The sequence below is a fragment of the Homo sapiens genome, chromosome 14, assembly GCF_000001405.40.
Source record: "Homo sapiens chromosome 14, GRCh38.p14 Primary Assembly".
Taxonomy (NCBI): domain Eukaryota; kingdom Metazoa; phylum Chordata; class Mammalia; order Primates; family Hominidae; genus Homo; species Homo sapiens.
The window spans coordinates 21,767,266-21,791,481 of record NC_000014.9 but is presented as its reverse complement, the minus strand read 5'-3'; the positions used below and the strand labels follow the sequence as shown (position 1 = coordinate 21,791,481).

Genomic DNA, 24,216 nt, shown 5'->3' with positions numbered 1-24,216 from the left:
ACTTACCAAACATTACGAGTGTTGTAATCGCTGGACCTGGTGAAAATTCCATCTTTAAAACCTCTGGCATCCTCAATTCTTAACTGCATAGCATAAAAAATATTGTCATCTCAATAAAATGCTGAACATGAACCTAAGATTTTAGCAGGAGATGTATTTGTTTTCAGAAGCTGTGCCCCCTCACAGGCAAGGGACTACACTGCAAGGAACGTTTTCTCCTGAAAGATAGTGCCACATGCTTACCTTGGACCTCATTTTCAAGTCACATTCAGCTGCCAGGTGACCATTTTCAAATCTGAAGAACACCTGTTGCTATTTATTCAGAGGCTTATTTTATTCCCAGGACACTGTCTGTATTAGTCAGGGTTCTCCAGAGAAACAGAACCAATAGGATGGATAGATAGGTGATAGATAGATAGATAGATAGATAGATAGATAGATAGATAGATAGACAGACAGACAGATAGATAGATAGGTGATAGATAGATAGATAATAGATAGATAGATGATTGGTAGATAAATAGATGATTGGTAGATAGCATTTAGTATAGATGGCATATAAAAACATGTACATACATAAATTATTTTCACATAGGGGATTAAACATATGGGTGATGTTGATTTGCTTCCAAAGACTGGAAAGCAAGTTCAAACACTCTTCTACCACATGGAGACATGGTAGCTGATGTTCAGAAGCATCTTACAGCATGGGTTCTTGAACCTAGCTTTGCATCACAATCAGCAAGGGAGCATAGTAAAAATGCAGATTCTGTGATCCACCTTATTCATACTGACATAACCTCTATGAGACTGTCCTGGGGAAGCTGTGTTTTTAAAAAGTTCCCTCAGGTGATTTATGTTGTAGTCATGACTTTTTAAAACTTTTATTTGAGTTTCAGGGGTATATGTGCAGATTTGCTATATAGGTAAACTGCATGTCTCAGAATTTGGTGTGCAGATTGTTTCGTCACCAAGGTGATGAGCTATATTAGTCCGTTTTCGTGCTGCTAATAAAGACATACTCAAGACTGAGTGATTTATAAAGAAAAAGAGGTTTAATGAACTCACAGTACCACGTGACTAGGGAGCCCTCACAACCATGGCAGAAGGCAAAGGAGGAGCAAAGTCCCATCTTACGTGGTGGCAGGCAAAAGAGTCTGTGCAGGGGAATTCTCCTTTATGAAGCCATCAGATCTCGTGAGACTTATTCGCTACTGAGATGGGATAGTTCCCTTGACCCTTTGGTGGGCAGGAACTGGAGTGCACCAGCTCTGGGTCCAGCCAGCCACTTCAGCGCCTGCAGGGATGAACTTCGCTTGCTCAAACCTGCTGTGCTGAACCCCTCACAGAAATGAGCACGTAGGCAAGTGGGTGCCAGGGCTGAGGTGAGTGCTTTTGGGCTCTGGCCCCACGGCAGCATTTAGGGGTTTGTTACAGTTAATGCTCTTTTAGCTTTGCCATCTTCGGACAGCTTAAGTGTTAAACATCTCAGTGAAGAGTCAGAGTGACAGCCTTTTTGGGTTCCTGCACCTAGTGCATCTCGAATTCTCGTCCGGCGTCGAGGAAGAATCAGGTCACTCTAATGGTTTGAAAGGTGATGAATGTGGAGGATTTTATTAAGCAATGGAAGTGGCGCTCAGTGGAAGGGGAGCTGGAAAGGAGATGGGTGTGGGAAGAAGGTGATCTTTTTCCCTGAAGCCCAGCCATCTCTGGCCAGGCTCCCCTCTGAAGTCATGCCGTCTGAAGTTAAGCCATGTCTATCCATAGTCTCCGACACTCAGTTGCTTCTTCTCCTCTCAATGTTCAGCTGCTTGTCCCTTTGCCAGCTGACGTCTGAGGTTTATATGGGGCACAGGATAGGGGGGCAGGTTGGGCCCAAAAGGCAACATTTCGGTGAAAAAACTGAGATAACTGTTCTCATTTAGGGCCACGGTTTCCAGTCTAGAGGGTGGGGCCTTTACCAGGGAAGCACCTTCTTCTACCCAGTATTTCCCTGCCTCCTGTTCGTATCACTGTTACAAGAATAGCACAGGAAAAACCCACACTTTTCATTAGTCAATTACCTCCCACCAAGTTCCTCCCATGACACAGTGGGAATTATGGGAGCTAAAATCAAGATGAGATTTGGTTGGGGACACAGCCAAACCATATCATAGGCATAGTACCCAAAAGATAGTTTTTTGATCCTCTCCCTTCTCCCACCATCCAGCCTCAAGTAATTCCTAGTGTCTGTTGTCCACCTCTTATTTGTCTGTGTTTTCTTGTTGTTTAGCTCCAACTTGTAAGTGAGAGCATGTGGTATTTATTTTTTCTGTTCCTGCCTTAGTTTGCTTAGGATAATGGCCTCCAGCTCCACCCACATTGCTGCAAAAGACACGATCTCATTCTTTTTTATGGCTACATAGTATTCCATAGTGGATATGTACCACATTTTCTTTATCCAGTCTATCATTGATGGACATTTAGGTTGATTCCATGTCTTTGCTATTATGAATAGTAATGCAATTAACATATTCATGCATGTGTTTTTATGATAGAACAATTTATATTCCTTTGGGCATATACCCAATAACAAAATTGCTGACTCAAATGGTAATTCTGTTTTAAGTTCTTTGAGGAATCATCACATCACTTTTCACGATGGCTGAACCAATATACATTCCCACCAGCAGGGCATAATCTTTTCTCCACAACCTCACCAGCATCTGTCATTTTTTTACTTTTTCATAGTTGCCATTCTGACTGGTGTGAGATGGCATCTCACTGTGGTTTTGATTTGCATTTCTCTAATGATTAGTGATGTTGAACATTTTTTCATATCCTTGTTGGCCACTTGTATGTATGTCTTCTTTTGAGAAGTGTCTGTTTGTACCCTTTGCCCACCTTTTAATGGGGTTTCTTGTTTTTTGCTTATAAATTTGTTTAAGTTCCTTATAGGTTCTGGATATTAGACATTTGTTGGATGCCTAGTTTGCAAAAATTTTATTCCATTTTGTAAGTTGTCTGTTTATTCTGTTGATAGTTTCTTTTGCTGTGAAGAGGCTCTTTAGTTTAATTAGATCCATTTTGTCAATTTTTTGTTTTTGTTGCAAATGCTTTTGGTGTCTTTGTGATGAAATATTTGCCAGGTCCTATGTCCAGAATGGTATTTTCTAGGTTATCTTTCAGAGTTTTTATAGTTTTAAATTTTGCATTTAAGTCTTTAATCCATCTTGAGTTGATTTTTGTGCATGGCATAAGGAAGGGGTCTAGTTTCAATCTTCTTCATATGGCTAATCAGTTATCCCAACACCATTTATTGAACAGGCAGTACTTTCCCCATTGCTTATTTTTGTCGATTTTGTCAAAGATCAGATGATTGTAGATATGTGGCATTATTTTGGGGCTTAGGACTGCCTTGGCTATTTGGGCTCTATTTTTGGTTCCATATGAGTTTTTTTTTTTTAATGGAGTTTCACTTTGTCACCCAGGCAGGAGTGCAATGGCATGACCTCGGCTCACTGCAACCTCCGCCTCCTGGGTTCAAGCGATTCTCCTGCCTCAGCCTCCCGAGTAGCTGGGATTACAGGACCCCACTGGCACACCTGGCTAATTTTTGTAATTTTAGTAGCAATGGGGTTTCACCATGTTGGCCAGGCTGGTCTCGAACTCCTGACCTCAGGTGATCTGCCAGCCTCAGCCTCCCAAAGTGCTGGGATTACAGGCATAAGCCACCATGCCCAGCACCGTATGAGTTTTAAAATTGTTTTTTCTAATTCTCTGAGGAATGTCTTTGGTAGATTGAGAGGAGTAGCATTGAATCTGTAAATTGCTTTAGGCAGTATCAGCAATGGTTTTTAAAATGCCATTTTGGAACAGTGAGCTAGAGGAGCATCAAAGATTCAAAGACAAGGTTCTGGCATTGTGGAAAAATGCTCCCAAGCTGCTAAACTCTCAGCTCATGGTAAAATAAATAAACACTATTTAGTTCCTTCTTCTTGCCTTTTGTGCTTATGAAAAAAATGGAATACTATGCAGCCATAAAAAATGATAAGTTCATATCCTTTGTAGGGACATGGATGAAACTGGAAACCATCATTCTCAGCAAACTATCGCAAGGGCAAAAAACCAAACACTGCATGTTCTCACTCATAGGTGGGAATTGAACAATGAGAACACATGGACACAGGAAGGGGAACATCACACTCCAGGGACTGTTGTGGAGTGGGGGGAGGAGGGAGGGATAGCATTAGGAGATATACCTAATGCTAAATGACGAGTTAATGGGTGCAGCACACCAACATGGCACATGTATACATACATAACAAACCTGCACAATGTGCACATGTACCCTAAAACTTAAAGTATCATAATAATAAAATAAAATTTTTAAAAAATGGTAAATGCTGAAGAGAGAGAGAGAGAGATCATTGCTCTGAAAAGCCATGTAAAGTTTTATCCTTAGACAAGAAAGTAGTATATTTCCTGCAGAATCCACTCTCCTGGATTTGTTTAGGTCGAAGCATCGAGACTCTTTTCCTTCTCCCTCCTCCTTTGTGCCTTATCTTCATGAAGGTCAGAACCAGTGTGTCCCTCTTCCCCTGTTCCTTGGACCTTTGTCTGTAATCCGTTTAGCTTATATGAACAGCACACCTATAAGGTGAAGAGACTCTATTTTCATAATGGCTTCACCTTTTTGAGTTAACATAGTTTCCTTTGATGTCCACACTGTCTCTTTCTGTGGGGGAAATCCTGTTCTTCTCTATGAGTTTATGTAGAGAATATATCTTAGGAATTATACCAGTAGGTTTGAGTGAAATATGTCAGAACCATATGATCAAGGACACAAATTGCTTATTTTCCCAAGTAACAGTGGGCTTTATTAGGAACATCTGATTTCTAGCACCCAACAATTGTAATCCAAGGATTTAGATTAAATAGGGTAAAGTCAGGGAAACTGAATTCTCTCTTGGCATTTAACATACAGCATCAGAAGCTTCTCAACCATTGGAAGGGCAGGGAAACACAGATCAAAACAGGTGCTCATGGGAAATCTACCTACCACAAGAAACCTGCCACCAGTGACCCCAGTTTTCTGCAGCATCAAAGAGATGGAGTCTCTGAAGGATCCCAGGAATCAAAAAGAAAAGCCACTGTCAGTGACTTTGCTGTCTATCCAAAACAGTTATTGAATGAGTGTGTGCCTCTCATTGCTAATTTTTTACTTATTCATTGCTAATGTAAGGATACAATTTATTGATTGTTTTAAATCCTTGCAAAATAAGGTTTTTTAGTTAAATAATTTTTATTGAGGTAGAGTTTACACACAGGGAAATGCACTGATCTCAAATGTACACTGAAGTTTTGACAAATGTATATACTCTTGAAATCAACACCCCAATAGAGTAATAGAACACTTTCATTACCCCCCAGAAAATGCTACACCACCTTCTACTGGATCTCCACCCTGCACAGACAAGCACTTTTTAAAATTTCTATTCACATATATTAGTTTTACATGTTCTTGAACTTTATATTTAAAGAACCATACACTTTTTATTGTTCCATGTTTGTCTTATTTCAATCAACTAAAATTTTTAAATTCGTTTACAATGTGGTATATGTCAGTAGTCTATTTTTTACTGCTGAGTATGAATAAATTACAATTTGGTGCTCCATTTTCTTATTGATGAACATTCGAGTTGTTTCCAACTTGGAACTATTATGAATAAAGCTTCTATAAATATTCCTGTACAGGAAAGTGGATTTTTTTTTTTTTTACATTTCCCTTGGGTAAATGCCTCAAAAGATACTTGCTGGATCATAGGGTGAGTATTTTCCAATGTGGCTGTATCCATTTAAACCTATATGAGTAAGGCATGTTCTAGGGACTCTACATTCTCACCAAAATTTGGTGTTGTCAGTCTTTTTAATTTTAGCCATGAGTATGAAGTGATATCTCATTTAATTTACTTTTTTTTTTTTTTTGAGATGGAGTCTCACTCTATCACCAGGCTGGAGTGCAGTGGCGCAATCTCGGCTCACTGCAACCTCCGCCTCCCAGGTTCAAGTGATTCTCCTGCCTTAGCCTCCTGAGTAGCTGGGACTACAGGTGTGCGCCACCACACCTAACTGATTGTTGTATTTTCAGTAGAGACAGGGTTTCACCATGTTGGCCAGGATGGTCTCAATCTCTTGACCACATGATCTGCCCGCCTTGGCCTCCCAAAGTGCTGGGATTACAGGCATGAGCCACCGTGCGTGGCCACATTTCTTTTATGACTTAAGACATAGAACAAACTTCCATTTGTTTATTGACTGTTCCTTTGTCTTCCTTGTAAAATGCGTATTCAAGTCTTTTGCATGTTTTTTATCGTTACTATAAAGTTGTAGTCGTTCTTTCTATATTCTGGATATATTGCAACTCTCCTGGAGATCACAAAAGAATTAAAAACCTACCACACTTTTGGATAGGAAGACTTGCCATAATACTGCCGTCATTTTATCTAAGTTAATTCATATATTTTACCCTAAGTTAATGTATACTTTTAACAAGATCCCAGAATCATATTCATTTCAATTTATGGCAATGGCTATTCCTCCTGGATATTCAGGGCCTGTAGACTTCCCCAGCTCTGGGCTGTTTGCACCTGTTCAGGACAGCAAGGCCACTGGAAACCTAGGGTTTGATGTTGTCAGTCTTTTTAATTTTAGACATAGGTATAAAGTAATATTTCATCGTGGTTTTAATTTACATTTCTTTTATGACTTAAGACATAGAACAAATTTCCATGTGTTTATTGGCTATTCCTTTATCTTCCTTGTAAAATGCCTGTTCAAGTCTTTTACATATTTTTAATTGGCACTATAAAGTTGGAGCCATTCGTTATGTATTCTGGATATAAAGAACTCCTACAGCATTGGCTCAGTGGACTGAGCTTCTCCTTTCTCCTTTCTGATGGTTTCACAAATTCCACTTAGCCTGTCCTGAGCTGGGTCCCCAAAAGAGCATCTAGAATCTACAGTAACAGAAAGCTACTCTACAAATTATTTAAAATAATGTCCAATGTTTAGTGCTATTCATCAATAGCATCGTATTTGATATTTTATTTGAACTCCACAATTCCATTAAATAAAGGGTCAGGCTTTATAGATTTGTTTTATTTATGACAGCCTGTAGCACTTCACTTTCCAGACTTGTTTGGAAATGGCCAGATGATACCGAAAACCACCTGGCATTTCTCCTCAACTCTGGCAGACAATACCTCAACATGTGAAGCCAATTCTTGACCCACAGATTCAAGCAGCATTCAGCTGTCCCCAATCTTTAACCATGTTTCCATGAGAAAAATGATTGATGAAGATGAAACTAAACTCTTGCTGCAATTTCTCGGGAACCTCTAAATCCTAGGCAGACTTGGTTTCCCCTTTGTGTATCCCAGAAACTTAGGAAACATGAGCTCTATGATGGCTTATCTGCTATGTTCAATACCAATGCATCCCAATGACTAAAGAGTACCTGGCACATATCAGGAGCTGAGAGATACTTGTTCAGTGGGTGAGTAAATGAAAACCACTGCTACAGCATTTTTCACATATGATTCCAACCATTGTAGTTCCTTTGTCAGATTTTACAGTAGAAAAACAACAGTCTTCAAATTTCTTTGACATGTGTTTCCACCAGGCCTGAGAAGAGAACAAGTGCTCTCTATGCTAGAAGACTGACCTGGGCACTAAAGGATTCTGCTGAAGATAGGAAGGGTCAGGATTGATCAATTCAAATAAGGCACAAAGACGGTCTTTGTGAAGGGTGGCCTGATAAAAGATACATGAGTCAAATGAACAGCACCCTTTATCTCCTCCCCTCTCTGGTCATACTCATGCCTTAGTTCTTCACGTCTACTCAGGCTCAGGGCCCCTATTGCTGATGCTTCTGTTATGGTACTTCTACCCAGCTGCATGTTTGGATACAGGTTGCAGGTGCCTAGGGAGTACTGTGCATCTACAGCACAGAAATAGGTGGCTGAATCTTCAGGCTGCACGGCTGTAATGTACAAGCTGCTTCCATTCTTCAGTAATGTAGCATTTAGTCTTCCTTTCTGCTTCTCATATCCAGCTGAATACATGGATAATAGGTGTTTGGGACCCATCCCTGTATTTTGCCTGTACCACTGCAAATTGTTAAAACGACTGACAGAGTACGTGCAGCTCATGGAGGCAACGTCTCCCTGCTGGGGTCCCAGAAAATGAGGGCTGTGCTCCACCTGGTTTTCTCCATTTGCCCCTATTCAGAAAGACATCAGGTACAATATGTACATTTTAATTTAGACCTTTCATAATTTTATTTCTTAATCTCAAACAAGCAATGACAAGTAAGTCCAGACTACATCCCCATCTCCCCAAAAGGACTTGAATAAATGTCTCCTGGGGTCCCCAGTTCTTAGAACCCTCAACTTACAGCCAAGACATAGACAAAATATAATTAGGACAGGTCTCCGCATCTTCTCCATCCTGATACTTTGTCTTGATACCAAAAATGCTGCATAAAATTATGTAGCCAAACAAAGCTTTTATTGTTTGTTTCTTTTAATCTAATAAATGAAACAGCCTGTCTGTCTGTCAACCAATCAGCAATATGCTCTTCTAACGTAAACATACTTCCTAGGTATAAGAAAGACATAGTTTACAAATGAAAGAGAACCCCTGTCACCTTGTGGCTATAAGCAAAATTATTAAAGAAATGTTAACGCTGTGCACATCTGCTAACACCACGTGCAAAAATTCCTCCAACTTCTAAATTGGAGGAATTGTTCTTATTTTATAAGCCTCTATAATGTGATCATCATGACTTTCTCCTGTGTTTTTCTTTTACTAATCTGTTCATTGAGGCCTGATCTATCTCAGAGCAAAACTATCACCAGTGATTATGGAGCAGATGGGCAAAACAGAAGAACTGGATATATGTTCTCTTCAAAATGCAACAATCTCAACTGATAAAGCCAAGGAAAGCTAACATAGGTACACGGAGGTTCCAAATAACACACAGTGGCCAGACGTGGTGGCTCACGCCTGTAATCCCAGCACTTTGGGAGGCCGAGGCAGGTGGATCATGAGGTCAGAAGTTCAAGACAAGCCAGGCCAACATAGCGAAACCCCGTCTCTACTAAAAATACAACACTTAGCTGGGTATGGCAGCATGCACCTGTAGTCCCAGCTACTCAGGAGGCTGAGGCAGGAGAATTGCTTGAACCCGGGAGGCGAAGGTTGCAGTAAGCTGAGATCGTGCCACTGCACTCCATCCTGGATGACAGAGCGAAACTCCATCTTAAAAAAAAAAAAAAAAGAAAAAGAAAATAACACACAATGCAAGGCCTCCCGTAGCCATATCAAAGTGAATGTTAGGAATACGTATTTGGAAATGTACTCTAGAAAGCAATACAACTTTTCTGTAGGATTGTCACAGGACACTTAGGGTGTCACTTTTCCAGCTCGAAACCTCTGTGTCCAGTGGCATCTTTGCCCAAGTTTTGCTTGGGCCCACTGGGCTCGTTCCACCTACTCAGCCCAGCAGGCTACATTCAGCTCATGCTACTGGCCCAGATACCACAGCTGCCAAGGGTAAGCCAGGCACGGAGTGGAAAGGGGTATGTGAGTTAGTGAAGGGTCCGGCCATTGCGCACAGCCAGGTATGCCGGCTGTGGTGGGGTGGGCAGCTCCAGGTGCCAGCACAGGCCCTGGCTCCCTGCCAGGCTGAAGCTGGACCAGGCATACCACAAGCAGCTTCCACAATGGGCACCAGGGAATGCAGTGGCACCCAGAAGCTTGGAGATGCCTGGAACTGCAGAGCCCCAAACTGGGTGTCACAGCCCTGGCTCAGGGAGCTCCCAGGTCTGGGCTCCTTAAAGGGCCACAGCTCTCTCCTCATTTCCCACAACGTGGTGAGCATAGGGGGTGCGATGTTGGGGTTGGGGTGGTGTTCAGCCCTGTTTGCGTTACAGTTCTTTCAGTCCCATCATTCAGCAGGTCCCGAGGTCTTATCCCACGTCCAGGAAGAATGAGATACGTGGACAAATGGAGGGTGAGTAAGGCAGAGAGGAGCTTCATTGAGTGACAGAACAGCGCTCAGGAGACCTGAAATGGGTAGCTCCTTTCCACAGGCAGGTTGTCCTGACAAGTCAGGGAGACCCAAAGTGGGTAGCTCCTTTCTGCAGTTGATAGTCCCGACATCTGTGTGAATCTGGCCGAGTTCAAGATTTTTATGGGTTCAAAAGACATTTTTTATGGGTTCAAAAGACATTTTTCAAAAGACATTTTATGGGTTCGAAACCTATTTTTATGGGTTCAAAAGTGTGTGCTGATTGGTCCATGTGTGGACCCAGAAAAAGCACGGTAAGTTCCCACTCTGGGCGGTGGACTCCACCCAGAACTGGCAGCCCAGCCCCCAGGCTTCAGGCCATCGCAGAGGTGTGCCTGTAGGCCCACACCAAGCTTCCCTTGGCCCCTACTCCAAGCCTCCTTCCCATGTTCAACAGTACCCAAAGTCCAGAGGGGGCCAAGGCAGCAGTAAGGGGCTGGTGTGACAGTACTTCTCCAAGCACGTGTACAACCGGCCGGGTTGCGACAGCACCCAGACTCGGCCACAACTTTGCTCCAAACTCGGAGTGGGTGCCAGGAGTGAGGAGAGGCCAGGGAATGGGAGCAGGCACTTCTGAGCCTGTGGGGGCAGGGAGGCTTCCCAGGCCCCCAAAAGCACAAGGATTCCTGGGTCTGGAGCCACAGCTGGGCAGCTGCAGTTGCACCCAGGAGCACAGCGCTCCCCGTCTACCAACTCGGTAGGAGGCAGGGAATTCCTGCCTGTTCCCGGCTCCCTTCAGCTCTGTAGAGTGCAAAGCCCTGGCCGCACCTCCCCCACTGCAGCGGGCATCCCCGCAACAGCTGCTCCAGACAGGCCACCACTGCCATCAGGATCAGATACATGGGTGCTGGGAGCAAATATGGCAGAATCCTTAGAGAGAGGTAAGAGAATGTGATGACAAACCTTAGTCACTCAGTCAAGAATGCAGTGTGAGAAAGAAATATCTTGGAGGAAAACTTACATTTAAGATGTCAGTATTATATTTTTAGGCAACAGCATATGATTGTATCATAGAGCTGTAAACTTCGAATTAATCAAAAGATAAGTGGCTTCATATCCCCAGCCTCAACCGTATCTTGATTTCAAGCACAAATTTTTTTTAACTATAACAAATTATATTATAGAGAGTAACCCAGATCATACCACTATTGACAAAATCAAAATCCATTTGATTTTATCCAGATCTTTTTTTTTTTTTTTTTTTTTTTGGAGACAGAGTCTCACTGTGTCACTCCACCAGGCTGGAGTCCAGGGGTGCAATCTCAGCTCACAGCAATCTCCACCTCCAGGGTTTAAGCAATTGTTGTGCCTCAGCCTCCCAAGAACCTGGAATTATAGGCGTGTGCCAGTACTCCTGGCTAATTTTTGTATTTTTAGTAGAGACAGGGTTGACGGAGTTTCACTATGTTGCCCAGGCTGGTCTTGAACTCCTGGCCTCAAGTGATCTGCCCACTTCGGCCTCCCAAAATTCTGGGATTACAGGCATGGGCTCACCACACCCAGCCTATCCACATCATTTTAAATAATATTATGTGAATGACATCAATGGCATGCTTTGAAAAAACATCAATTAAAATTAAAACTAGAAGTCCCCTTTGACTCTTGCCAACTCAACTTTGCACCCATGATAGCCACAACCTCCCTACTCCATCCCCCAAAAACATCATGCAGATTTGATGCTTCCAGCTTTCCTCTTTAATTTCTTCTAAATAGCAGAAAGATAAGCATGTGTAGCTGTGTTTATAGTAACAGTACAGATCTGTGAATAGTACCGTGTACTAAGAATATAAATCCTTTTGCATACCATTTATCCACTAAGAATCAAATAATTTTCCTTTTGCCTATAATTCATTTAATCTACTTTATGTGTAATTATAAAATAGTTACATTTGATTTAGATTAGCAACACTGTAGCTTTTACAAATCTCCCCAAAAGGCAGTTCTTTAGATATGGCTTTTGGATAGTCTTTCTCCAGAAAATAATGGAGAACGTAAATACAAAGCTAAGAGCAGACTGGAAGGAAACCAGCAGCACTGATTGGACAGGGCCAATCAGATCCATTACGTCCTGGGAAGACTAGAGAATCTACTTTTATTCAGATGCAGTAGCTCACACCTCTAATTCCAGCAGTTTGGGAGGGCAAGGCAGGCGGATCACTTGAGGCCAGGAGTTCAAGACCAGCCTGGGCAACATGATGAAACCCATCTCTACTAAAAATACAAAAATCAGCTGGGCGTGGTGGCACATGCATGTAATCCCAGCCACTTGGGAAGCTGAGGCACAAGAATCACCAGAACCCAGGAGGTGGAGGTTGCAGTGAGCAAAAATCCTGCCACTGCACTCGAGCCTGGGTGACAGAGTGAGAGTCTGTCTCAAAAAAATTAATAAAATAAAATAATTTTTTTGAAAAGAGAACCTAATTTTGATGCAAAATTAGAAGTGAAAAAATTGTGTCTTAACCAGTTTGTTTATCTGGAAATTTGCCTAAAATATAACTTTTAAAATGCTAATTTAACATTCGCTTTGAAATGTTTCTATGAAAAATTCCTGTCTTTCATAATAAATGGGGAAGGGGCTCGGGTTAACTTCTTTTTCAGTTCTGTGAGTTGAAACAGAGTTCAGATCTGGGAGATCAAGGCAGATAGAATTCACATCATAGGGCACCCAATGGAAAAGAGATGCACCGAGAAAAAACTGCAGAGATCTGCGTAGGGTCTCCCTTGAGTACCCAGCAGAATACTGGCCAGCACATGCATGGGAGACAACTACCTGAGGCCAGCGGAAAAAAACATCCAAGAGGATTACAAGGAGCACTGCCCACTTGGTGCTCCCTTGGGAACAAGAATCCTGCCTGTTCCCAGCAGTCAAACTGGAAAAACTCCTAATTCACGGATTATTAGGTAGAGTTCTCAGGAAGATCTTGTTTCAGTAGTGGAAGATAATTAGCTGGGAAACAGACGGAAGAACCAATATGGGAGAAAGATTAAACTGTTGAATACCTAGTATTATTTATTGGTGTGGGGAGAGATAAAATATAACTTTTCCTCAAGCTTTGTTCAAAAACAACATTACTATACCCAAATGAGAAAAATTAAATTTAAAATAATTAGAAGAAAACATTGGAAAACACTGTATTAAGGCCTCATAGTAAGAAAGATTGTTATCTTTGATACTAAACACTAAACTATAAAAGAAAAGACTAGTAATTTGACTACATTAAAATTTTAACTATCTGCATACAAAATAACCATAGGTAAAACGAAGAAGCAAGCCATATATGGAAGACATTTATCAAGACAGGTTACACTAGATTATTTTCAAGAACCTATAATAAATGCCCATAAATCATGTAGAGAATAGTGAAAGCTCCATAGAAGAGCAGCGAATTCAGAAAAGAAGGAACTCATTTGACTAATAAGTATATAAAAAGATGATACCCTTCACTAGTAATCAAATGCAAATTAAAGCATTTACACTTATCAGGTTGACGAACAAAATTTAAGTTTGACAATACCAAGGCTGTCAAGGAAGTGGTGAAACGGACTCTCAGAAACCACTCTCGAGAGTCAAATCACAAAGTTATAACACTTCAAAAACCAGTTTGGAGGCCAGGGGCGGTGGGTCACGCCTGAAATCCCAGCACTTTGGGAGGCCGAGGTGGGTGGATCACGAGGTCAGGAAATCGAGACCATCCTGGCTAACACGGTGAAACCCCATCTCTACTAAAAAATAAAAAATAAAATAGCCGGGCGTTGTGGCCCCTGTAGTCCCAGCTACTAGGGAGCCTGAGGCTGGAGAATGGCGTGAACCTGGGAGGCGGAGTTTGCAGTGAGCCGAGATCGCCCCACTGCACATGCACTCCAGCCTGGGCGACACAGCGAGACTCAGTCGCAAAAAAAAAAAAAAAACAACACAGTTTGAGAGTCTTTAGTAAAATTTAAACTCTGCATACAACATAGCCCACATATTCCAATCCTCATTCTAACCTGATGCACACTCGGATTTTAGTGCAGATGTGCTACCAGAAAGGGGTCCCGATCCAGACCCCTAAGAGAGGGTTCTTGGATCTTGCACAAGAAAGAATTCAGGGTGAGTCCATAGAATAAAGTGAAAGCAAGTTTATCAAGAAAGTAAAGAAATAAAAGAACGGCTACTCCATAGACAGAGCAGCCCTGAGGACTGCTGGTGGCCCATTTTTATGGTTATTTCTTGAGTATATGCTAAACAAGGAGTGGATTATTCATGCCTCCCCTTTTTAGACCGTATAGGGTAACTTCCTGATGTTGTCATGGCATTTCTAACCTGTCATGGTTCGGTGGGAGCACAGCAGTGAGGATGACCAGAGGTCACTCTCTTAGCTATCTTGGTTTTGGTGGGTTTTGGCCAGCTTCTTTATTTCAAACTGTTTTATCAGCAAGGTCTTTATGACCTGTATCTTGTGCTGACCTCCTGTGACTTAGAATGCCTAACTGTCTGAGAATGCAGCCCAGTAAGTCTCAGCCTCATTTTACCCAGCCCCCATTCAAGATGGAGTTGCTCTGGTTCAAACACCTCTGATAGATGGGGTCACCATCACAAGCCATTAACACAAGTCATCTGCACACTCCAGGGAACTAGATCATTTGGAAAGTATTGTTCTGACACAAATGCAGACATTTAGGTCTCCATGGGGGAAAGCCCTGTGACTTAACACACTGGCCTATAACCAAATTATTTGTGAAACAGTATTTATTTTTAAGAAACAAAGAGATGCATTAATATTTAGAACAATTTCTGGAACATGGTAGACACTCAAAATATTTGTTGAATGAGTGAATTTGAACATCCAACAATTCACAGCTATTTTACTTATTTTCAGACACGTATTTCTGAGTCTCATTAGCCAATTCATTAGCCAGTTTAGTTTAATTAAGACACAGCCAATTGTTGTAATTGTTAACCTTAATTGTTAATTGATAGTGATTTTAAACTCACCTTCAAGTCAAGATTCACAGGTAAAGATGTTTCTGGTAAATGATACATCTGGTAGATGCGCTCTTTGGGCTCAGACAGGAGGTGTTTTTCTTACAATGAATGTTTTCTCTGTAACCTCCACATCTGTGTTGCCACACCCCTAGCCACTTCTTGTCTGTGTAGTGATTTTCCTGTTGGCTCCAGAAGCAGCTGGGCATTTCAAGCAGAGTCCTGGGGTTAGACATGCCTCTCCTAGACCCATCTTCATCATTTCTCTCTCAGTGGCTTCAATAAGTGCAGAGAAATACACTGCTGTGTCCCCCAACCATCACAGAGAAGTATGAGAGTTCGTTACCCCACATCCCAGCCAATACTTAGAATTATAGGTTTTTTTAATTTTCACCATTTGGGTGAGTATGTAGTGTATCTCATGCTTTTGATTTGCATTCATCTGATAACCAGTGATGTGAGCATCTTTTCATGTACTCATTTGCCATTTACATATCTTCTTTTGTGAACTGTTTATTCAGATCTTTTGACTACTTATATCTTTTTTTCTTTTTATTATTAAGGTGTAGGGCTTCTTTAGATATCTGAAAACAAGTCCTTTGTCAGATATGGGCATCAAGAGCATGAGAATATTTCTCCCAGTCTAAAGCTTGTCTTTTCATTTTATTAATGAAAGAGCAGAAGTTTTTAATTTTGATGAAGTCCAAGACATGATTTTTCCTCATTGTGGTTTATGATTTTGGTGTCATACCTATGAAATTTTTATTACCCAAAAGTTGTGAATAACTTCTCCAATGTTTTCTTCTAGGTCTACAGCTTTTCCTTTACCTTTAGATCTATGACCCATTTTGACTTTATTTTGGTGTACAATGTAAGATAAGGATAATGGTTTATTTTTCTATATGTAAGCATACCAAATTGTTTGAGTGCCATTTGTCAAAACTTTTTTTTACTAACTCTTCCTTATTTGAGTAACAATGACACTTGGAAATACAAATAGGTAAAGTTTAATTTTTAGCAAGATCAATAATTCAACCAGTAACTGTATTCAGCTACAGCACATTATAATGTATGGGAGGATTTGATGACAAATGCTATTTATGATGGGCTTTGAAGACTGCCTGAGAACTAATAGTTACGTACCTTCAGGCTTCTGAATGTTGTACATTCTCTAGTCAGTTCCTAAGGTGAAAATTTTTCAGCTCATGATAAGAAAGCAAAGTTGTTTACACTAACTAGTGCATTCATTTCTAATAACCAACTAAGAAGAATCTGGTAAACTTACCCTTCTCCCCCTCACTGCCAACATCTGCCCAGTTGCCTATATTGATGCCAAGCAGCAGCAACAAAACATTGTTTGTTAAAAATACAAATACATGCTGGGAAATACCTATCTGTATATAGTGTCCTGCATATGTCTATTGTGTTTACTTACAATTATCACATCATATGTTCCATTTTCTAATTTGGAAAATATGCTTATTAAGTACATAACAGGTGTCTCCATGATCTATTGTTGCAGGTATCTCCAGGATCTACTAAAATCCAGGCTATGGCTGGAGCGCCTACACAGCAACATCTGTTTAAGCAGGACTCTTCAGTAATTATATAACTCAATATCAAAGAACACTTTCACTGATTGACTGGCTTCTGTGTGCTGAGGTACAGGCAGCTGCAAATAATTGGCTTACTTACTATTGAGCTTCCACTTTGTTTCTTTTCCTCAAATGAATACAGGAATGATACATGTCCAAGCTGCATCATCAGAAAACAGAGATCTCTAGGCTAGTAGCAGTAAATAGTGCTTAAATATTGGCGTTGGGCATCTGGTAGACACGGTTCAAATCTAACTTTTGTGCTGGCTAAGTCAGTGGCTCTTATTATGAATATTTTATATAGTGCCAGTAATAGTTTCATCATCATGATAAAGAAATCTTCTCAGATATTGCTATGAAAGTTAAGTAACAATGTTTTGTAAAAATTTTAACCCCATACTTTACATGTAGTCAGTACTAAACAAATGTTAATAATTACTAGTTTCAGATAGAAACCAATTTTCATTCTTTGAAACAAATACATAGCAATGTGAAGACAGAAATACAAAAAAGAGGTTTGTTTTATTCTTGTTTGTTTGATTTGTCATTTTAGGAACAAGAAGAGTTTCTGATGTGTGACCAGTAAGGGCTTCAAGGCAGGAGCTGTATTTTAACAGCATGTAGTAAGATGCCTGGAGCACAGAATATGCCTAACAATTATTTATTGATAGATGCATGTAGTCCAGAATAACATTATATACTATAATAAAGTTTCATACGTTTTTATTGTAATACAATACATGATAAACAACATCCAACTGAAGCAGAATGTCTTATCTCCTAACAGATTTAGAAAACAGCAACATAGTGAGACACATTCCAGTTAATAAAAATAAAAGTTGCTGGGTAGGAAGCATACAGCAGAGAAGAGAGATTTCTACATCAAGACACTCACATCTGTAATAAAAAGATAGACCAGCTGGGACAGGAACCTGTAAAATCATGAGAAGCACAGGATGGACCTGTAAAATCATCAGAGTACAGGCTCATCAAATTTCATGATGGTTAGACACAGCCTCCCTATAGAACTTCAGGAAGACCAGGTTAGAATAAAGGGAAAGAAACCCATTTCACAGGGGAGCTAATTCGACATGGAAACCGTCTCCTCAAAAAGTAGTACAGCCTGGCAATATGAAGAGCTATGAAAACAAAACTGGAAAAGTCCAAGGGTGGAGATCAAAAACAGGTCTTTATTTAGAAAAAGAACATTCATGACCTTCCACCATCTTTATCTTAGTATTAGTTTTAGACACAGTGACTCCATTGTCTAGATGAGCCATAGGTCATAGTTTTCTAGTAATAGAATGCTAAGAAAACGATAAACATAGTTCCTGCTTTCATGGAACACAAACTCATCTAATAATAGCTAATAGGAAGGTGTTTTGAGAACTTACATAAAGAAATTTTATCTATTTGAAAACTGGGTGAAGTGTCAAAGAAGGTTTTTCCAAAAGACAATTGAATTGGGATCTCACGGAAAGAATGAGGGAAAATTCCAGGCAGGGAAAATGGTATCTTGGAAGACTCCAAGGTAAGGGATATCTGGCACTTTCAAGGAAATAAAAACTGACCTATGGGATGGGAGCATAAAAGAATGAAAAGGGCATTGCAGTAAAAATTAACTAGAGAAGAAGTAGGGAGCAAACCATGGAGGGGTTTTGGTAAGGATTTCGGCCTTTGATAAACACAACAGGAAGGCTTAAGAGTATTTTAAGCAGGGAGATGATAGGATTAAATTCACATTTTTTAAAATATCTTGGCAGGCTAATGTATTAAATAGATCAGAAATGCAAAAGCTAAAGTAAATACAGACATAACAATTAGGAGGCTACTGCATTCCTCCAGGTGGTGGTGACGGTGGAAAATAGACAAATATGAGATATTTAAGAGGTTAAAAAGATCAACAAAACTTTTTCTCTTTTTTCTTCTCACACTTGTCAACCTAACTTAATTCTCGTCTTTCTCTTTTGCTCAAGTGGTGACTTAACTAGTTTCCTGTTTCTTGGGTTGGTTCAACTTAAATCAACTAAATAGTTCAATTTAAATAACTAGAAAATCTTATTAAAACCAGAAGAGTTGGGAGGAAAATAAGGAAAGCAAATAGTTGCTCGATATTTACTTAAATGTAGTTATTCTTTCTATTTTACCACAGCATACTCAAGATTCTTAGCTTAAATTTTAGACTCTGAGGTAGAAGCAAATTTCCACGCATAGGATAGTTTTCAGTTGGAACAACTGGCAAGACATGCCAGAATTTTCATAAATCCTTGTGGTTCCATGTGGATAATGGTGTCACCTGTGCAAACAAATAAAATGAAAGATTGTTTTGCCTTAAAAAATATTTTGTATGGTAATCCTATTTTAATCATAGACCTCCAATAAACTCATAATCTCTAAATTTTGGATCAGCTTTCCTAAAAAACAAAAATCTCTGTTTCCTCTGCAATGATGCTTATGAAAACAATGAATAAATTATGGTGTACTAAAGAAAGAAATCTTTCCAGTAAGAAGGACCCACGGTTGAGTTAAAACAGTACCCTAAAGAGATCAGACTTCTTTTCCATACAGAGAAGTACACTAATAATAATCTATGCATTAATAATATGTATTATTAATTAATAATTAATCTTTGCATTAATAATAATGCGTGGATTATTTTATTAAACCATGTAAAAGAGCTGGCTCTAAATCAAGACTTTTTACCAAGCCAAAAGTCATCAGGAATAGACTCAAAGCCCAAAATCAAGAATCCAGACCCCCACCCACAGCACTCAAAAATTTGGAGACCCAAAAATTTGGGTTTTTATGGATAATTTGGTGGGCAGGGGGCTAGTGATTGACAAATGCTGGTTGGTTGGGTTGGGGATGACATCACAGGGAGTTGAAGATATCTTCTTGTGCTGAGTCAGTTCCTGGATGGGATCACAAAACCAGTTGAGCCAGTTTACCAGTCCAGGTGGCACCAGCTGGTCCAGCAGGATTTAGAATCTGAAAAATACCTTGAACACCAATCTTAGGTCCTATGATAGAGTTGATATCCATAGGAGCAAGTGGGGAGGTTACTAATGTTTTGACCTCTGCCTGCATAACTCCTGAGTCATAATTTCTAATCTTACGGCTAATTTGTTAGTTTTACAAAGGCAGTTTTGGTCCCCCAACCAAGGAAGGGGTTGTTTGGGGAAGGACTATTATCATCTTTGCTTTAAGGTTAAACTATAAACTAAATTTCTCCCAAAGTCAGCTTGGCCTACACCCAGGAATGAACAGGACAGCTTGGAGGTTAGAAGCAAAATGGAGTCAGCTATGTCAGATTTCTCTTACCGTCACAATTTTGCCAAGGTGGTTCATGCTCTCCTAGATAACTGTATTACTTCCTCCCCCACTTTCTTCACATACTTATTCAATAAGAACTACCATGACTCCCTCCCCACATTTAAAATTCCAACTGCAGACAGCTCCACCTCCACATTTCCCATCCCCATTACCCTGGTCTACTTTTCCCATAGTACTTACTGTCTTCTAACATACTATATTACTTATCACATTTTTTGTTCACTCTGTTTTTTCAATAAAATATAAGCTCCAGGAGAGCCAAAACTTCTGTCTATTTTATTCATTGATGCATCCCTGCTGTATATAGCAGTGTCTGGCACATAGCAGGTACTCAATAATATTTGTTAATGTCTCTGGTTTGTGAAACACAGATCATTTATATATTTACATACCAAATCATTTCAAATAGATTTTGAGGTGATTAGTAAAAAGATTACAGAAATAGAACATGAAAAAGATATATTTAATGCTTAGAGCAGAAAATTTGAGTTTTAACTTCCTGAAAGAAATGAACTATAAACAAGTGTCTGTTGAATTTCTAGTGCACTGGTGTACCTGCCACCACAATAGTTGCCTTATATATATTTTTATACTTTTATGTATAAACATATACATATGTTTATGTTAATATGTATAAACATATTAACAATAATCCTATGAGGTAATTCTATTACTAGCATTTCACAGGAGAGGAATTTGGTACTCAGAGATCTAGAAACACTTCCCCAAGACAACACAGCCCAGTCATTGACTGGGTCAGAATTTTCCACCGATATGTTGCACTCCCACGCCCATACTTTTGAATGCTGTACTGCCAGTTGTAATTTATACCCTCCATTTATTACAAAGGGAAAGACATTCCAATTCCTGTTGGAGAAAATTATTTACTCCCTTCTAAATTCTCCTACATTCAATCATTTCTTAGGTCTGTCCTCATCTCTGGCCTGAGCTGTTGAACAATCCCTCATCCTTCTCTCAGCCCCCTGTTCTGACATAACTCTTATCCATATTCAAATTATATGAATCTTTTCTTGTTCATTGCCAGAAATGGGAGGAAAACTCCTCCCAAACAATAATTATGTCATAATAATATTTCATCTATTCTCAATTTCAGGGAGTTTATGAACCTTCAAGATGTCCAACTATGGTTAACAATCTCTGCATTGAACTCTCCTTCTCTCTGACTATCAAATCCCAGATGCCAGTGACTCAGAGCCCATTATTTTCTTATTCCTAGCTGCCTCTATTTTATTAATGGTGATTAAAAGAAGGGACTTCTTGTCCTCAAATTCTGTTTTTCTAGGTGTATTGTTTTCTTCCCCTATTATCCTACATATATTCTCTCTGCACCTCTTCCTACACTCAAACACAAACAGCTTCATGATCATATCATTTTGGCAGTGACTGTATGTGGCCCAAAGCAGACAGAAATATCAGCCCTAGCCTAAAACAGAGTTAGTCAAAACCCACAGATTCTGCCATGTTAGTAACTGAACATGCATGACCTATGGGATCTGTCTGTTTTGGCAATAATCTAAAAATAGATCAAGAAATAAGGTAATACATAGATGACAGAAATTGATAGAAATGGCAATGCAGGCAATAATAACGGAGAAGTCCTCAACTCAGAACCCATGCCTAACATGAGAAGGTGTAAGTTCTCTTTCTTAAAAGAGTTGTACAACCCAGGCATGGTGGTGTGTGCTTGTAATTCCAGCTACTCAGGAGGCTGAGGCAGGAGGATCACTTAAGCCCAGGAGTTGTGGTCTGCAGTGAGCTGTGATTGTGCTATTGCACTCCAGCCTCCAGCCTGGGTGACAGAGTGTGACCCTGTCTCTTAAGAAACAAATGAAAAAGAAGACTTGTATATTGACCTACTCACTGATACCACATACATAGTAAACAACGGCTCTAAATTTATCTCTGCAATGCCATGACTTATGGCATGTTTTCCAATATAGCATGGTTATCCATTCATAAGATGAACAATTTTTAAAAAGGTCAATTTTTTATCATTATCATCATCATCATCATTATTCAGTGTTCAGTTTGGGAAGGGACTCAAAAATGTTTGGATTATTTTTTCATCTAGAAGAATCCATGTTTTAATGCTTAAGTGTAATGTGTTTAACTCCATAAATTTATCACGCTGCTCTAGGCTAGTCACAAAAACTAAGCAGAATTTATGCATTTTTTAAAAGCAAGTCCTCCCTCCTTTCTCTGAGGAATTCTTCAGAGCATTTGTTTGTTTGTTTTGAAAATTGCCCTTTCAACTAACACCCCCCCATTCTGTCAGGAGCTGTGATTAGCCTTTGGGAGACAGCACAGCCATGAGCTCTGATTGTGAGAGTTAGCAGAGTTTGGGTGCAGGAAGCAGCTGCCAGGGCACTACTGTGTGTCTAGAGCACAGAGGTAGGTAGCTGAGTCTGCAGGCTGGGAGGCTGTGATATGAAACAAACTCTGTTTAAGGGTGGTATCAAAGGTGACCTTCAGTCTTTCTTTCCTTTTTTCTTTCTCATTTTCACGTATGAGTAGCAAGAAAACAGGGCCTCTTCCTGGATCTTGTCGGTACCACTGTAAGTATGCTGGAGAATAGTTTGTATAGTTGCAGGTCAGGGTGGCCGTTTTACCCTCCTGAATGTTCAGAGCCTCGGAATTCTGTTCTATCTTTTGGCTCTTCACCCCTAGGCAGAAACACAACACCAAAAGTAGGAGGGTTAGTCACTACACTGACACTGTTGAGTCTATTTTCCTCCCACAACCCCAGATATAACCAAAGATGGGGAAGAATGGATCCTAGCCCCTCCCCTTCATCCTGTGCACTGCAGCCCTGGATCTCTCTGTCTCCATCAACAGGAAATCTCCAACTCACAGTCCACTTGAAGCCACAAAATCAGCAAAACACCTCCCAGGAATGACTCCATTCGTCTCCCCAAATGTGGCCTGAAATGTAGACCCAGGCTTCTCAGCCAAAAAGCCATTCTGTTTAGTTTGATAGGTGTTACTGGGGTTCTTCTACCCCTAGAAGGAAGTTCTGGCCTTCCTATCCAGCCAATCAATGGCAAGCCTGTTCAGCCCCTTACACATACTGGCCTAATCCAGCTATGCAGTGAACTTCGGTTCACATCTGAGACAGGCTCTGAGGGGGTAGGAAATACTGCCCTCTTGTGTTCAGAAAGTTGTTATAATAATGGAACGTGCTCCCAGGTCAGGGCTTCTAAAACTTAATTATGTATGCAAATCACCTGGGGATTTTGTTAAGCTGTGAATTCTGTTTCATTAGGTCTGAGGTGGGGCTGGATATTCCACATTTTAACAAGTTTACTGGTGATGCTGATACAGTTGGTTCTCAGACCACACTTGTAAGTAACAAGTCCAGAAGAATGCTAATTGAGTCTCAGTACATAACATGGAATTGACAATATTAATTCTGGATACAGGTCAAATGATCAAGTTTTCCAAGTTCTCCATTTCATTGCCCAGTTGAACTACTCTGTCCTTCTTGCCACAGTTGCAGATGTCATGTGCTCTAGATAATGTAAAACACAGAAAATGTATGGCTGAATTCTAGGAAACTTTCCCAGATCTAGGGAATAGGCCTTCCCACAGGTGAAAAAAAAGTATTGCTTTGACTTCAAAAGGCCTTTTTTCTTTATCTTGTTGGGCTATAATAAGTAGACATTCAGTTTAAATTCAGCGAGAATTCAAACGAGTGAAGGGTTTTTTACCCCTAGAATACCCTCTGAGAGGGTGTTTAAAATTATTTTTAAAATACAGCAGCCCTCTGATTATATATATCAGAAATCCTTTCTTTTCTACTTTTTAATGCCAGGATGGATGTATTGTAGTCACTTCCTTAGATGCATTTATGCCATTCCATGGAGAGATCAATGACAGCTGAACAGATGGATGGACAGATAGAAGAAAGAGAGAATGGGCTAGAATGTAGCAGAAAATCAAGTTGGAAGGAGAATTCAGGTCTAGAAAACAAAAGATTTTGAATGCCAGGATTCATTTGTAGGTTATTTGTTAGCAAACAAGGAACTTTTGAGGCTTTAGAGGAGGTAATATTATGAAAATGGAAGTCCATATACTGGACATTCTATTCTGTTAACATTCTATTAATTAGGCTGCTTATCTACAAGAATAATTTGGAGAAGTATGTTGATAGACATCATGAAAGAATAGTTAAGAGTTTGTATTCCAGCCTC

The 24,216-nt window shown here is 40.1% G+C and overlaps 2 gene segments (V, D, J or C) and 1 further gene, besides 8 other annotated features; all 3 read right to left on the bottom strand.

Annotated features, from left to right (window-relative positions):
• TRA (T cell receptor alpha locus) overlaps nucleotides 1-24,216 on the bottom strand; it is a 930,229-nt gene that overhangs the window by 760,651 nt on the left and 145,362 nt on the right.
• Nucleotides 7,940-7,948: a recombination feature (nonamer).
• Nucleotides 7,949-7,971: a recombination feature (spacer).
• On the bottom strand, nucleotides 7,979-8,489 carry TRAV7 (T cell receptor alpha variable 7). The segment is given in 2 exon segments: nucleotides 7,979-8,263; nucleotides 8,438-8,489. Coding segments are annotated over 2 exon segments (337 nt in total), but the record flags the coding sequence as incomplete, so codon positions are not given.
• Nucleotides 8,253-8,263: a sequence feature (TRAV7 leader sequence).
• Nucleotides 8,438-8,489: a sequence feature (TRAV7 leader sequence).
• Nucleotides 22,363-22,371: a recombination feature (nonamer).
• Nucleotides 22,372-22,394: a recombination feature (spacer).
• TRAV6 (T cell receptor alpha variable 6) lies at nucleotides 22,402-22,929 on the bottom strand. The segment is given in 2 exon segments: nucleotides 22,402-22,689; nucleotides 22,878-22,929. Coding segments are annotated over 2 exon segments (340 nt in total), but the record flags the coding sequence as incomplete, so codon positions are not given.
• Nucleotides 22,682-22,689: a sequence feature (TRAV6 leader sequence).
• Nucleotides 22,878-22,929: a sequence feature (TRAV6 leader sequence).